The 16,560-nt window shown below is 42.0% G+C and overlaps 1 pseudogene across 1 annotated transcript in view; it reads right to left on the reverse strand.

Annotated features, from left to right (window-relative positions):
- The window catches only part of GUCY1B2 (guanylate cyclase 1 soluble subunit beta 2 (pseudogene)), a 71,647-nt pseudogene that overhangs the window by 10,793 nt on the left and 44,294 nt on the right, over positions 1-16,560 (reverse strand). The window contains exons 10-15 of the transcript NR_003923.2: positions 15,095-15,415; positions 11,613-11,761; positions 10,878-11,024; positions 4,770-4,924; positions 1,687-1,838; positions 1,397-1,606 (exon numbers count right to left, since the gene is read on the reverse strand). The product of NR_003923.2 is annotated as a guanylate cyclase 1 soluble subunit beta 2 (pseudogene) (transcript). The remainder of the gene's footprint in view (positions 1-1,396; positions 1,607-1,686; positions 1,839-4,769; positions 4,925-10,877; positions 11,025-11,612; positions 11,762-15,094; positions 15,416-16,560) is intronic.

The following is a 16,560-nucleotide window of genomic DNA, read 5'->3' on the forward strand; positions in this document are numbered from 1 at the left end:
TTCAGGGTGAGGACTGACCTCAGTCCACACAGAGGTTGCCATTTTCCTCTATGATAAGCCATGTCTGGGGGCTGTCGACCCCATAGCCCACAAAGGGGTCCTTGTTCTTAATTTGCACAGAGACACTGACTGGGGCCTCGGGGGATGGGGGCTGCTATCCCCTGCCCTCCTTTCACACCTACCCTCCCTCCTCTTTCTCAGGCTCCATTCTGAGGGCTCCCAGTTGAGGCACCCTTCCTCACTTTCTACTCAGGGTTGCTTTTCCCTAGCTCAGAACTGAAAGTGGGTTTGATTCTACTGACTCAGACCTTGCTCCGGAATACTGTTTCTCTAAGAAGTGTGGGAACCCTCAGTGAACGAGTGGGAGAGAGCAGTGTGGGGTTACAGCCAGGCACAGCTGAGACCCATCTGCCCTGTCCTGTGCCAAAGCCTCCAGCCCTGCCTTCCCCTCTCCAATGATCACGTGATATGATGCCCCCTCCCCACTTTACTTTGTTCATTTCTTGACAACGAAGAAGAGAAAAGGGGGGGATGTTTGTTTGCCTTCTCTCTAGAAACCCTCTGTACTGTGGGGCTGGCATGATGGTGGGTGGGAGGGAGTGGGAGATAGCAGTGGATGAGGTGCCCAGAGCCTGGAAATTCTGGGGCTAAAACCTCTAATGAGGACTGCTCCTCGTCCTTATTACCAAAGTTATTTCTTGTTTTTTATTTAGATATTTGTATCTCAGTGTCTACAACAGTAAAATGTGGCCTAAACCAACTATAGCTCACAGGGATACTACAGTGAGCTGATATTAGAATGAAAGCATTATGACAACAATTTTAAAAATTCTTCAAATAATCCATCTTTTCTTTGGGATAGCCCCACTTTTAAAAATAGTCATCATAATCCACATGTCCCAAAGAGACATACTGCGTGTAATAGCTGTGTAAATAAGGAACCTCTGGACTTTGAGATTCCCCTTGTGGGCCTCTGGAGTGGCTAAAGATTAGCTCCTGTCAGAAGGAATTCATTCCCTTCTTGGAGGTTCAGAAAGGCTTGCCTCCTATTACCAGGTTTCCCCTTCAGGTCAGCACTTCTGTCTTAGCCAGGCTGTGGCTAAGGGACCCTGAGTGTGTGGGACTGATCAGCCTTGCAGCTGATGGAGAGCTCGCCATTGGATTCCAGCTTCTTTTTGGGGGTACCATGAGCCAAACAGTAATCCCTGGTCCAGCTTAGTACTGGGTTTTTTTACCCTAAACTCCCACCCTCTTGTCATTCCTGGAGCTGGGTGAGTCACAAATTTTGTCCCTCATCCCAGTTTTGGAAGCTAGAACAAAATGTGAAAAAGGTTCCAGCACGCGAGGGAAGCCTGTGCTGGAGCCTCTGAGGCTGTGGAGCAGAGGAAGCACTCACAAATCATTCCCCAGCTACCAGAGAGCTGCATGGGAAACGCCCAGAGAAGAACCTTGAAGACTAATGTATGTAGAACTCTTCAGCTGGATCTATCGGCCCAGCTCAAAGAACGTCATAATAACCAGGATGCAAGAGAAGAGTGTTCAGGGCAAGATGGTTGAACTGAGCCCTGGAGCTTGGTGGTGGGCAAGGATGCTTTCTGTGTTGACCCTGCAAATAATAAACATATCTGAAGTGGTTAGTGGAAAAACTACTCAACACTAATGACAAAGCTTCTCTTTTTTGCTTACCCTTGTGATCAACTGGGGTTTTAGATCTCCCCATGATCTCATCCTCTGTGGCATTCAAGTTCTGGATCAAAAAGTATGTGGTCATTCTCCCTTTACCTTTCACTTCAATTTCACCCCTCTCAATGATTTTAAACCCTTGATTTTTCAAGGCTCTGCACAGAGAAAAAAAGTGCATCAGATATCAAAGATTGTGGGTCTGTAACTCAAGAGTTGGCTACAATGCAAAGGGCTACTCAAGAGGAAAAGTCCAGGACACAGGACACACAACAGCAGGGGAGGGAAGATCCCAGACATCTGCCTGCTGAAGCAGGACAGAGGCCGTGGGGAAAGTGAGGATGAGATATTCTGAACAGGATGCCAAAGGCCAAAAGAGAACACAGGGACCCATCAAAACCCTCCCAACCCTGCCACCAATTTTCCTCCCTCCAGCTCAACCCTCATATGGGCATCTCTCACGTTTCTACACACCATGCTGTCAGTGCCCATGTGGACACCACCTTTCATGTTTCTGCCACGTAAGACTCTTGGGTATCAACACTCTTCTTTCCATCTTCCCCAAGTGCACCATATACCCCATGCTTGCTACTATGCTCATCCTAACTACCCAAGCTTTCTCCACCACAATTTCTGTCTGCCAAGGAACTGAAGAGGAGGACTATAGGGAAGGGACCATGAAAAGAGACAGAGCTATGGGGTAATTACAAAACGTTTCCCTGTTTATTTATTTACTAGCCACCAAGTGATGTTAGAGAAAAGCCAAAGAACCACTCAGACCAATGAGGATTCAAATTCATGACCACCTGCCTCGGCACTCCATCGAGCCTTCCCTTGCCCTTGGCCAGGTTGGTAGAGAGTTCAGACCTTCACCACAGTCCTCATGGGCCTCCATTTGGCATCTGCTCCCCTCACTCATACGCTGGTGGCTGTGCCTCCTACTTTATGCCCTGATTCATCTACAAAATTACATTGATTACAGGTGAGAGCCTGTGACTTCTCACCCCATGACCACACCATCCTGTCCCCCAATCTCCGAGGATGAGGTATATTTCTTGTCCAGGGTCTCCTCACCCTCACCCCCTTCCCACCACCTCTGGGCCTTGCTCCATTGGCCACCCCACGCTTATCTTCATCTCCCATTCCATTTGCCTTTCTCCTTCTGCTTTTCAGTGTGCTTATGTCTCTTCCATCCTAAACAGAAACAAACAAAACAGCCTCTCACCTGCTTTAATCTCATGCAAACTTTCTCCTCTTTTTATTCTTCAGCCCAACGTCTATCCCACCATTCTACTACAACCACTTTTGAGAATGTCCCCAAAACCTCTAGTGAGTATTTTTCAGTCCTTATTACTACATTTGACATTTTTGTTCAATTCTTCCTTCCTAAAGTCATCCACAAGAGTGCTTCTCACCCTCAACTCTCCTGGTCCTTTCTGAGTATTTCTTCTCCTGTCTCTTCCCTGGGCTCCTCTTCCTTCTGTGCCACTTAAATATTGGTTCTGCACAGGATTCCATTCTTTTCCCACTGTTCTTTGCACACTGCATCCTTCCCTGGGTTGATCTCATCAACTCTCATGACTGTTATTACCACCTATATGTTGCTTACTCCAAGTCTGGATCTTCAATAACTCAACTCCATCCATTTTATGGCACCTCTAGCTGAATGTTCCACAGTTCCTTTGAACCCAGCGTGTCCAACCTAAACTCATTGTCTGCCCCTATGATCTGGGATACTTCTCATTTGTCCCATTGCAGATGGCCAGGCCACCATTCAAGCCCTAGTCACCCAGAATGGAGACCCGGGCTCCCCCCTTCTTCTCATCCCCCATTTCTAACTACTTTAGCTGGTTTTATTTTCCCCCATATTCCCACCACTAATGTTCTGATTCAGACCAAACTCCTAACAGGTCTCATCTGTCTCATTTTCTGGTTCTCAAATATGCCCTTTCAGGGTCTCTAGAGTGGTCAGTGTCAAATAGGACCCTGACCCTGTCACTGTCTTCAACCTCACATTCGTTGGGGGCTTTTCCTCACCTACGGCATAGGGCTCTTGCCCTTCAGTAAGGCATGTGCAGCTCTCACTGCTCCTGCCTCATATTTTCCAATACAGAAAACCTCGGGTGTTTATAGTTCTCTGCACCTATTCTACATGTGAGCCTCTACCCACTTTTTACTCCCAATACCCCAATTTTGGCTAAATTTTACTCTGGAACTCCTTGCTCAAGATTCAGCTCAGGAATCTCCTCCATGAAGCCCTTTTTTACTGGGTCAAGCACCCTTGCCCTGGGCTCTCATGACACCCCCGGTGACTACCTTGAGGATAAGAGTGCAGCAGTTAAAGGGGGGACACTGAACTCTGACTCCGTGGGCTGCATCTGGGCTATTCTCCTTCCTAGCCTACCTGGTCCTGAGGCAAATGATTAACCTTTTTGTGCCTTTTCTTTCATGTAAATAATAATAATAATGTATCTTCACAGAGCTGTTGCAACTGTAAATGAATTAACATATAAAAGAATTTAGAATAGAATGTGGCCTATTTTAAGTGCTCAAGAAACTATAAGTATTGTTTTATGCACATATTTGTCATTGTACTTATCTCACTTTAAAAATAATCAACTACAACTTTTCTTTTTTCTTCTGCTAGACCAAAGGTCAGCACGCTTTTTATATAAATAAAGACCAGATAGTAAATATTTTAGACTTTGTGTATCATATGGTCTTTGTTGCAGTGATTCAACTCTGCCTTTGTAGCATGACATCAGCCATAGACTATATGTAAATGAAAGTGCATGGCTGTGTTCCAATAAAACTTTATTTACAAAAATGAGCAGCAGACTAGATTTGGTCTGTGGGGTTATACTTTGCTGTTCCCTGAACTAAACTATATGCTCCTTGACAGTAAAAACTATGCTACAGTTAGAAGCTCAACTAAATTTATTATCTGCCACAATATCTTCTGTAAGCCATTGAGACATGGAAGGAAAAACATGAGTTTCCTGCACTACCCCAACCCATGGCTGCTAGGCACTCTGTAAGTTCTAGAAAGAGGAAGGGACAAAGGAAGGCATGAATAAATGGAAGGCTACCTGTAGGCTGTGGGACTGAGGTGCACTTTGTTGGGAAGCCCATGACTTTCCATCCTAGAAGCTGTGTTCACAGTGTCACCAAACAAGCAGTACCGTGGCATCTTGTCTCCTACAACATCTGCTAAGACTGGTCCAGTATGGATCCCCACTCTGAGCTGTACAGAGACAGCATCACTGAAAAGAGACCATCTAATACTCTTGATTTTATTTGTAAGTTGAGATATAATTTACATAAAATAAAAAAAGATATTAAAGTGTTTGGCTCCATGAGTTTTGACAAGTGCTTATATCCCTGTAACCACCACCCAAAATAAAATGTAAACTAGTTCCATTACCTTGCAAAATTATCTTGTGCCCCTTCTAGTTAAGCTCTCTCCCCATCTTCTTCAGCAGAGATAACTACATTCTCATTTCTTCTTTTTTTTTTTTTTTTTTTTTTTGAGATGGAGTTTCACTCTTGTTGCCCAGGCTGGAGTGCAGTGTGATCTCAGCTCACTGCAACCTCCGCCTCCTGGGTTCAAGCGATTCTCCTGCCTCAGCCTCCAGAGTAGCTGAGATTACAGGTGCCCCCCCGCCACCACACCCGACTAATTTTTGTATTTTTATTAGAGACAGGGTTTCACCATGTTGGCCAGCTGGCCAAGCTGGTCTCGAACTCCGGAACTCAGGCGATCCACCTGCCTCAGCCTCCCAAAGTGCTGGGATAATAGGCATGAGCCACTGCGCCTGGCCTTTTTTATTTCTTTTACCAAAGAATGATTTGCCTGTTCCAGAACATCACATATGTACAATCTTATAGTATATACTGTTTTATATCTGGTTTCATTTACTCAACATAATGTTTTTGAGATTCATCTATATTGTCTTACATATCAGTAGTTATTTTTATCACTGAATAGCATTCTATTGTTAGAATACACCACATTCATTATCCAGTCTCCTTTTCATGAACATTTAGATTATTTTTCAGTTTGAATCTATTAAAATTAAGGCTGCTATAAACATTCCTGTACAGATATTTTTGTAGACATGTTTTCCTTTCTCTTAAGTAAATACCTAGAAGTGGAATTTCTGAGTCCCAAGGTAGATACAGATTTAATTTTATTTTTTAACAAAACAAGCCAAAAAACTACCCAGCAATTCTCCAAAGTTGTTTTACTGTTTTACATTTCTATCAGCGACGTGACACTTTCAGTTGTTCCCATTTTCACCATCATTTGGTCTTCTCGTGGGTGTGAAATGATATCTCACTGTGGTTTTAATTTGCGTTAAATTGGTGACTAATGATGTTAGGCACACTGTCACACACACATTGGCCATTCATATATTTTCTTTTGTAAAAAAGTCTGTTCAATTTTTTGCCTGTTTTAAAAATTGAGCTGTTTGTCTTTTATTGTTAATGTGTATGAATTGTACACATATTTGGATATGTAATATGTATGTATTACAAATATTTTTATCAGTCTGTGGGTTTGTGTATTTATTTTCTTTAATAAGCAGAATGTTTTAATTTTGATGAATGTATTCATCTGCTTAGGCTGCCATAGCAAAATACCACAGGCTGTGTAGCTTAAACAATGGAAATTATTTCTCACAATTCTGGAGCCTGGAAGGCCAAGATCAAGCTGTGGGCAGGGTTGGTTTCTCCTGAGGCCTCTCTGCTTGGCTTGTAGATGTCCACCTTTTTGCTGTGTCCTCACGTGGTCCTTCCTCTGTGCACATGCATTCTTAGTGTCTCTTTACGTCCAAATTTCATATTTTTATAAGGACATCAGGCACGTTGGATGAGGGCTTACTCTTAAGGTTTCATTTTACTCAGTAAAGCCTCTAGCTCCAAAGACAGTCATGTTCTGAGGTAGTGAGTACTAGAGTTTCAAAATAAGAATTTTGGGCAAGACACAATTCAGCCTGTAACAATGAAGTTTATCATTTTTTTCCCTTCATGGTCAGTGTTTTTTGTGTCCTATCTAAAAAAAAAAAAATCATTGTTTTCCCCAAAGTCATGATGCTATTCTTTATTTCCATCAAGAAGCTTTGTGATTCTAGATTTTATGTTTCGATTTGTGATATATATCAAATGATTTTTTTTGTATATGGGGTAAGGTAGAACTGAGGTACATTTTTTCTTTCCACATGATATTCAATGGTAACAGAATCATTTTTTAAAAAGAGGTTGCCTTCCCCACTCAATTATTTGGTGCCTTGGTCAAAAATCAATGGACTAAACATGGAGTCTATGTCTGGACACTCTGTGCTGCTCCAGTGGTCTCTTTGTCTATTCTTCTCCCAATCTCACTCTGTTTTTTTTTTACTGTTGCTTTAGAATAAGTCTTAAAATTAGTTGTGTACATCCTCCAATTTTGTTATTTTCTAAGAGTGTTCGGGTTAGTCTAGATTCTTTACATTTCCATATAAATTTTAAAATCAGCTTGTGAATATTTTCTAAGAAGCTTGCAGGGATTTTGATTGGTATTCTACGGAATCTATACATCAATTTGGGGAAAATGGACAGCTTAAATATATTGAGTTTTCCAAAGAATACGGTATATCTCTCTATTTAATTAGGTCCTCTTTAATTTCCCTAAGCAATACCTTATAGTTTTAAGCATAGAGGTCATATGTATCTTTTGTTAGATTTACTCCTAGAAATTTAATTAAGTTTATTTTCTTTTTATTTCATTTTCAATTTTTTGTCCTTAACATATAAAAATTTAATTAATTTTCCTGTATTTATGCTATGACCTTGCTAAACTCATTTATTAGATCTTGTAGTTTCCTGTAGTTTGTATAAGAGTTTCTAGGTGCACCATTATTTGTTCTGTGAATAATGATAATTTTATTTCTTCATTCATTTCCAAACTTAATGTCTTATATTTCTTCTTCTTGCCTTAGTTCACTGGGTAGAGTTTTTGGTATGCTTTAACTAGAAGTGGTTGTCTTTGTATTTATTCTGCTTGGGTTTGCTGAGCTCTGGATGTGTGCATTGATATCCTTCATGTTGAAAAATTCTCAACTATTATCTCTTCAAATATTTCTTCTTACCCATTCTCACTCTGTTCTCATTCTAGCATTTCAGTTACATATATGGGAGTCCATTTGATATTGTCCTACAGATATAGAGTGTCTTGTTCCCCTTTTTAACCCTGTTTTCTTCTTTGCATTTCAGTTTGGGTGATTTCTATTTCTCTGTCTTCAAATTCCCTGATTTTTTTCTCTATTGTGTCTAGTCTTCGTTGAGCCCATAAAATTAATTCTTTATTTCTGATTTCTGATATCATAGTTTTCTGTTAGATATAGATATAGATGTAAATATAGACAGTATGTACGTATTTCCCATATCTTCACACTTGTTTTGCCCCTTTTCTTATAGACCCTTTAAAATATTTATCACACTAATTTTAAAGATCCAACATCTAGGCTATTTCTGGACCTGCTTCTATTGACTATTTTCTCTATTGGCTATCCACTATATTACTATTTTCTTGTTGCTTCTTGCATCTCATATTTTTCATTATCTAATTGAATGACCCATATTGTGTGTGAAAATACAGTAGAGACTGAAGTAGATAATATTTATCCACCAGAAAATGTTACATCCCTACAGAATTAGGCTGCTGGAATGGGCAGTAAGTAAATCTAATCCATATTTGAGTTGGGTCAGGGCTTTTCCAGAAATATTGGTAGATTCCATGCACCACTGGTTTCAAATATTATGAAGGCTGAATCAGAACTTTCAGTACAGCAGAGCTTAGAATCTGAGCACCAGCAAGACTCTGAGGACCTTGAATGCTGTACAGCCAATCCACAGCTTTTGGAGTTGTAGGAGATCTCCTCCTGCATTACAGCCCAACAGTGAGATTTTCAGAAGTCTCTTTGCTCTTCAGTCCCACCCTGGCTCTCTGCACCTTGGGAAAATTTTCTCTGCCATTCCTCCTTGCCCTCATACTTCAAAAGGTCATCGTAGTGTACTTGGTGAAGACGAAGAGTACTTCAGTTGGATTTCTCTCAGTTCTCTTACTCTAACATTAGCCTTTAATGGGCCACTGCTTTGCATTTGGGAAAGGCCCCAAACACCTCAGGGACTCGGGAGTTCTCTCAGCTCTCCTCTCCTGTCCTAGTTTTTGGCTGACTAATCCCCTGCACTTGGCCTATGAGGAAGAGTTGGTAGATGGGTACAGACTCTGTGGCTGGGACTCTTTGGCATTCTAACCTGTTGTTTCAGCCCTGTGACCATTAAAAGTCCACTAAAATTTAGACGGGATTATCCCTACCCTCACCTCTGGTGGATTACTTCTTCTGCTGCCCTGCCAGGATTGAATGCAATTATGGGTGTCTTCTCTTTGAAAGGTTTGTCACTTCCTGGAATTTAGTTTATTTTGATTCCTTTGCTTTCTGGTGGGGGAAAAAAAACTGCTAGCATGGGAACAACAGTCTCTTACAGCTTTCTACATCCTAATCAGATTGCTTGTTGTTTTTACTTGCTAGATTTTCTTCTGCTTGAAATAAAATTATAATTTCTCTAGGAAAACAGGATTCTCTGAACCCTTCAAAGCACCTAGTAATACTGTCTCATACATGGATGGATCTCAGTAAATGTATATTAAAGCTATATGAATAAAATAATAGAATATCTCAGTGCAAAATAATTGCACAATTCTGTTAAGAGAGAAAGTGTTTCCAGTTCTCTCCCCTACATCCTTGAATAAACCCATATGATATGCTGTTTCTGGTGGATATTTAATGATGCTCCTAATTATGTCCATAGTCTTACCTTGGAATTGCTAACATCCTTTCCTATTTTTTTCTTGGTAAATCCACCTTGAGAGTTTCCAACAATTCATTGTCTAATTTCATTCTTATTGGTGTAGCATTATTTTCATCTCTGGCGCTATGCCCCTTTCATACACACATGCACACACACACACACGCACACACACACACACGCACACTATGCTTTCCATTTTTATTTTTATTTTTCACCAGTGACTTACACAAGCATCCTTTAACTGAAACATTTATCTCTTATCTAACCTTCTTATATCTCTTCCCTCATTGCCTCTCATCCTGATTTTTTATTTATTACATTGGATTTTTATTCCACTGATGCACACTGTGTTTACAATGAGTCATTATGGCAGCTATCTTGTTCTTGTGACTATCTAAGGCCAGCTTTTACTTAGAAGACTACAGTGGATGCTGTAGCCATGATCTGCACTGTTTCTCAGCTTCTAACTCACCATGGTCAGAGTGAGTGCAGCAGATTTTCAGAATCTCCTGTAAAAAGTTATAATGTGGAAAAATCATATTCCATCTTATAATTGGCTTTGTTTATTTTGAATTGACTAGTTTATTTTAAATTTCTGACTGATATTAGCAGAGGAAGGACCTAGAAATCAAAGGCAGAGAGACGCCACTCTCAGCCATCCCAGGAGCATTAGGATCTGCTGAGCCAGCGGAGGAGGACATTCATTTTTCACCTCCAAAACTGTTCAACTTTTAGAGTGTGAACAAACTTCCAGACTTGGAAGCGTACTTTTCTGTGAGAAAGGCGAGCAGATGTCTCGCTAGTGGCCACTTGGTGGAAGGAAAGCCATTCTGAATATCTTACGGCATCACGGTGCCTGGCCTGCTGACTGCAGGCAGCCTCACACCTCAGCCTGAGTTCTGAACCTGTCAGATGGCATGTTGGAGACACAATTTCCTAAGCAGGAAAAGTTGGCTGCTCATTAAACCTGAACCACTTGTTGAAATGCTTGAACATAAAAGCAGGAATTATAAATGAGCTGGTGTTTAAGATGGATTGAGCCCTGCTAGGTAAATAGGAAGAACTGCTCAGCACTGTCCTGAATTACCAACAAAGGAAGCTTGCAGTCAATCGTAGGAAAACCTTGAGCACCGCAGCCTCCTCTGAAATTTGAGAAAAGTTGAGACTATAGGAGCCTTAGGAATATCTCTATTAGGGACATATGCAAGAGAAGAAAAGGGCTAGGATACATTACCCATTTTAATGACAGCAACTTACCCAGTAATCACCTAAGCACATAAGCAGAATTCTACTTTTGTGTGTGAGATGTTTGGCATTAAGCCAAGTACTCAGTTGCTCTCTACCTGGATGGGTTCTCCAGTAACAGGATTCGTCACTTCCTTTGCAGAAATTCTCATCCCCAAGGCAAAATTAGCCACTCTTTGAGCATGGTTTCCAATAGGCACTGGTACACCTCCTACCACCATATAAGCATCTCCTATTGTTTCTACCTGTCAGGGAAAAAAAAATAGGTATTCAGAGGGATTCCTTCATGCACTAAACATGTCACTACACTTTTTTTCATTTTCCATATATAGACAAAGGGACTATACTAAAGCTGGTAATTGATTCTTTGCTAAGGGTATGAGGAGCATGAGGGAGGAGGTGAGAAAGAAAAGGACTCAGGAAACAACCATGAGAGAGCCAAAAGGCCTTTCTGCTTTTGGTGGAAACAAATCCCAGAAAAGACGAAGCTCCTGGGGTAGTCATGTGATGCTATATATGAGATAACACATTGTTTAGATTCGATTTTCTGCTGAATTTAGGAGTAGGAGAACTACACTCTATGAAAACACCTGACATCTAGGTGCCCCTCAAGGGCACCAGAGTGCCATCTTAGCACTGAGCATTGTAAAAAGAATTTCTAAAAACTAGAATTCCTAAAATACTTCCAATTCCCTTTCAGCTTTTATTCTGACCCCACACTCATCCACACCAAACCCCAGACCAGTGCAGACAGAGGCAAAGGGAGACTTAGAATCAAGCACTCGCCCTGCGTGAGCACACCGTGAAACACCCCACACTGCACAGACACTTACTTTATAGACTGCGTGCACACTGGTTAATCTGTCAAACTTGGAGTACATGGAATTCAGCACGTTCACTATTTGTATAGGTTCACAGGCAGTACAGATGTTAGTAAATGTCACTACATCGCTGAAAAGAATCGTGCAGCTTTTAAATTCTCCTACAACAGAAACCAGGTATCAGTGAGAAACAAGGAGATCGACTAATAAGTCCATGAATTCTGGATTAAGAGGCCCTGTGAGAATCAAACCTGCCCTGTGCCTTGTGGGAAAAGTAGCTGGATGCCATTCCCCATTCAGCATCACCCAGCACACGTTTACTGAGTGCCCGCTGCAAGCTAGTCGTAGTAGGAGAATCATATCACAGGGGGCAAGCAGACCAGGCCCTCGCCCCCAAGGAGCCCCCAGTCTAATGAAGGAGACATAAAAGTGAACAAATCCTTCCAGTAAAATGTGACCAGTGCTGTGGGAGGACAGAAAGGGCCCCTAGCAAGTGGGCCAAGCAGAGCCTGAGCTACAGGAGACCTGGGGACAGGGCTGACAGAGACTGGTCACTGTGAAGTGATGGGTCCCTGTCTTTGAATGGCAGGAAACCTACCTTGTCCTGAACACTTGCTCCTAAATCATGCCCCTGATTCCACCTTGGCCCCCATTCATGCTAACTTCCACATAGCAGCCAGATGCCCTGTTTAAGTCAGATCTCCCATTCTTCAATCTCAAATCTTTCATGACTTCCATCACACTTAGAATGCAACCCAAAGTCCTGACCATGGCTTACAGAGGGGACCCCCCACCTCTGTCCCTGCCACCTCTCTGACCCCATGTCCCTCCGGCTCCCTCCACTCTGGCCACACTGGCCTCATGGGGTTTCTCCAGCATGCCAAGTGCCTCCTGCCTTCAGGCTTCTACACTTAAAAAAAGAGGTGTTTCCTCTGCCTGACACTTTTCTCAAATATCTACAGGGCCTGTTACTCACATTTCAAATGTAACCAACTCAGTGAGAACTCTCCTGACCACCCTGTATAAAATAGCCCCTAGACTGGCTATCCTTTTAGCTTGATTGCCTTCCACCCACTCCATACATTTGACATTATATGTATATACATATATATATATATATTTTTTTTTTTTTTTTTTTTTGAGATAGAGTCTCACTCTGTCACCCAGGCTAGAGTGCAGTGGCATGATCTCGGCTCACTGCAACCTCCACCTCTTTGGTTCAAGCATTTCTCCTGCCTCAGCCTCCCGAGTAGCTGGGACTACAGGCACACGCCGCCATGCCTGGCTAATTTTTTGTAGTTTTAGTAGAGACAGGGTTTCACCGTGTTGTCCAGGCTGGTCTCGAACTCCTGAGCAGAGGCAATCTGCCCACCCAGCCTCCCAAAGTGCTGGTATTACAGGCGTAAGCCACCATGCCCGGCCTGATATTTTGTATGGAATGGTTTATTTGGTTATTGTCTACCACCCCATTGGAATACAAAGCTCCATGAGACGGGAGACTGTCAGTTTAGATCTCTGCCATATCCCAAGCACCTAAAGCAGGGCCTGGCACATAGTAAATGCTCAATAAATATTGAGTGAGTGAATCAATGACTCCTTGAATGCAGCCGGGTGCCTTCTTTGTTAGTTAAGCCTCTGATGGTAATTTCCCCTTTGTGGAACTTTCCCTTCTCCTTGGCTTCTGGCCTATCATCCTCTCTTCATATTCCTCCTACCTTTCTGATCTCCTTGTTTTATATCTTTCCTTGGCTTCTCAACCTTCTTAAGCACTAGATGTTCCCTAAAGAGTAATACTCCACTCTCTTCTCACTTCCTGTCCTCTAGGTGATCTTATCCACCATTCAGAGTCTATGATTAACCCCGCCCACATTGCAATAACTCCCAGATGTATAGCTCCATGCCACAATGTTCCTATGAGCTCTCACTAAGATTCCTACCACTGATCATGCTGTGTGGAGTATCCCACAGACATCTCCAGCTCAATGGTTCTAAAATGGACCTTATCATTCTCCCCCAACCCTGCTCTTCTTTCTGGCCCTGTCTTAGGATAAAGCATCCCATTTTTCCATGCGAGAAGCCTCAGACCCATGCCTGCCTCCGCTGTCTTACCTTCCCCATCTGGTCAGTGAGGAAATCCTGCTGATTCTTCCTCAGGCTGCCCTAATTCAGGCCTCTACCATCAATCAGCTGCGCCCTTATGGTCTTTCAGCACCCCCTCATGCATTCATTACACTGCAGCCAAAATCGGATTTATAAAACTCATCCTGTCACTTCCATAATAAGAGAAGAAACTTCAATGAATTCTCACTGCCTACAAAAGACAATTTCCTTTTCCCTAATAGTCCAAATTCATCACTGCATCACCTGAACCCCACCCTACCCACTCAGCGTCACCAGACCCCACTTTTCCACATACCCCACGCTCTGGGAACATGCCCCATGGTATTCGTTTGCACATTGCCTTAACTTTGACTCTTACTAGCCCATTCTCCAAAAATGCCTTTTTCCTCTTTGCTTGCTGAAATTCAGCCTCAAGGCCCAACTCAAGTGTCACACACTTTTGAGAGGTACCTCCACAACTCCAACCCACCCCCCTATCTCTTATCTCCTGACATCTATTTATTATTAATTTCCCTGTCCCCATGTTGCCATAGCACCTTGTGTGATGGAAAGAGTATGGATTTTGGAGTTAGATGGCCTTAACGCAGTTAGTTTCCACCTCTTTCATTTATCAGCTGCGCTGAATGTCAATTTGCTCAGCAATATGGTATGGACAACACCTCCTTCATAGAAATGTTGAGAAAATTTAATGAAACTGCACATGTAAAATGTCTAACATGGATCCTGGCACAATAATTGCTCCTTAATGCAAATTAGTTTCTTTTCCTTTGGTCATTTCCACCCCCATTAATTTATTCTGCATATATCTATCAAACTCATGAGGCTGTAAACTCCTCTGTGTCCCCAGATCTGGAACAGCACCCTGGCACAGAGTAAGTTCACCAGGCGTGTCTGGTGAATGAACACAATCCCATGACAAACGGAAAGTGAGTTCAGGGTAAACACAGCATCCCTGCCTCCATAAATAGTATACTGTCCCAGAATGGTCCTCAGAGGAACCCTATGATTTAACTAGTGTGCGAGTGTATTATTTCTAGTTAAAGTTAAGAACCCTACTCATTGTCACTGAGTAATGAGGCCAGTCTCAGGACATATCCTTAAATTCTTAGAGAATTTAATGTGTGTGTAGTTGACAACCATTTTTATATAATTCATGTTTCACTCCTGTATTATTTTTATTATTATTATTATTAATGTAGAGAGAACAAAGCTGAGAATATGCAGGTGGAGTAATTACCCCAAGATCATGCCACTTACAAGTGACAGAGCCAGAATTCAAAACCACTTCTGTCTGGCTTCAAAGCCTGTGGCCCTGACCACTAAGACATACCACGCTCTGCTCAGAGGACGCTGTGGAGGAGAGGGTGCCTTACCTGCAGCCACCTTTTTGCCCTCCCTCAGCTGGTTGGCCACGTGTTTGGGCAGCATGGCATAAAGTAAGGTCTCTGTTTTCTTCTTTTCAATGGCCAAGTGCTTGGAGAGGACCTGTAGCTCCTCCTTCTTCCTTTCCAGCTGGTTGGACAGCTCTATCTCAGCCAGCCGCTGCTGGTTCAGGAGGATGAGATCCCTGGTGGTGTCGTTGGGGGCGATGTCAGAAAGATGCATATTGAGTTCTTCCAGCTCTTGCAGGCTGCGGAGCTTCGGAGAGCACAGGTACACCATGCACCACATGGACTCCATCCAGATCATCTGGCCTTGCCATCATGGAGAGAAATGCAACAGTAGAGTATGTCACCAGTAGGGACTGAGACGAGCTCGCTGGACAACCAATCATCTCCCACACTGTGTGCTTCTAGTTACTGCACAGTCACGCTCTTTCTCTTTTACCCAAGGTCTGTGAGACCTTACTTATCTCCCCTCTGTCCCTAGCAGCTGTGTCCATTGCCTACATTGAAGTGGCTCCCATCTATCAATGGCCTCCATGCTACCGATGCCAACACAAGTTCCTTGGCCTTTTCTTTACTCAGCCTTTCTGCTGTTTGATGATGTTAACCAGACCCTTCTTCCCGAAATCTCACTTCCTAGGACTTCTCTGACACTGCTTTCTCTCTGAGATGTCCCCTAATTCTTTGAATTTTTACTTACATTATTTTAATCTCATTCCTTAAATGTTAGTGTTCCTGAGGGTTTTGTCTTGGTATTCTCATTTAGCATCACACAACTGCATCCTACACCACGCTGACTGCATCTGAATTTCCAGAGAAACCTTGCTTCCTGAACTCAATATGTGTATTTCTTTAAAAATAGATATGTTTGTTATGTTATTGTAAAAGCAGTACACATTCATTGCAGAAAACAAAAAAAGTGAAAGAAAATAGTAAAAATCACCCATAATCATACCACATGGATAATTACTGTTAATATTTTGTAGTATATCTTTGTTTTACAAAAAAACAGGGATTACATGGCATCTTCTTTTCATAATCTGAATTTTTCACTTAAAATATATAACATATTCTTTCATAGTATTAAATATAGATATTCATCTTAATTTTTGCTGGTTACCTTGCTCATACTGTCTTTTATTAAATAATAAGCTAGTATTGATTATATTTTATCTAGCTTATCATTGTATAAACAACATTGTGATGAATAAGCTTGAGGCAGTCTTTGTGTATAATCATGGCTAGTTAGTTTGTTAAAAAGATATATTCTTAGACACGGGTTACTTAGACAAAGAATATCCTCATTTTTAAGGCTTTTGATACGTATTGCCAAAATACACTCTAGGATGATTCTGACAATTAATACCTCCAGGAACAGTGTTTTTTTTTCTTCTGTTCTCCCTATTAGGTATCTGTTCATGGATATCTGCACTGAACTCAACTTCGATCCCCTC

The sequence above is a fragment of the Homo sapiens genome, chromosome 13 (assembly GCF_000001405.40).
Source record: "Homo sapiens chromosome 13, GRCh38.p14 Primary Assembly".
NCBI lineage: Eukaryota > Metazoa > Chordata > Mammalia > Primates > Hominidae > Homo > Homo sapiens.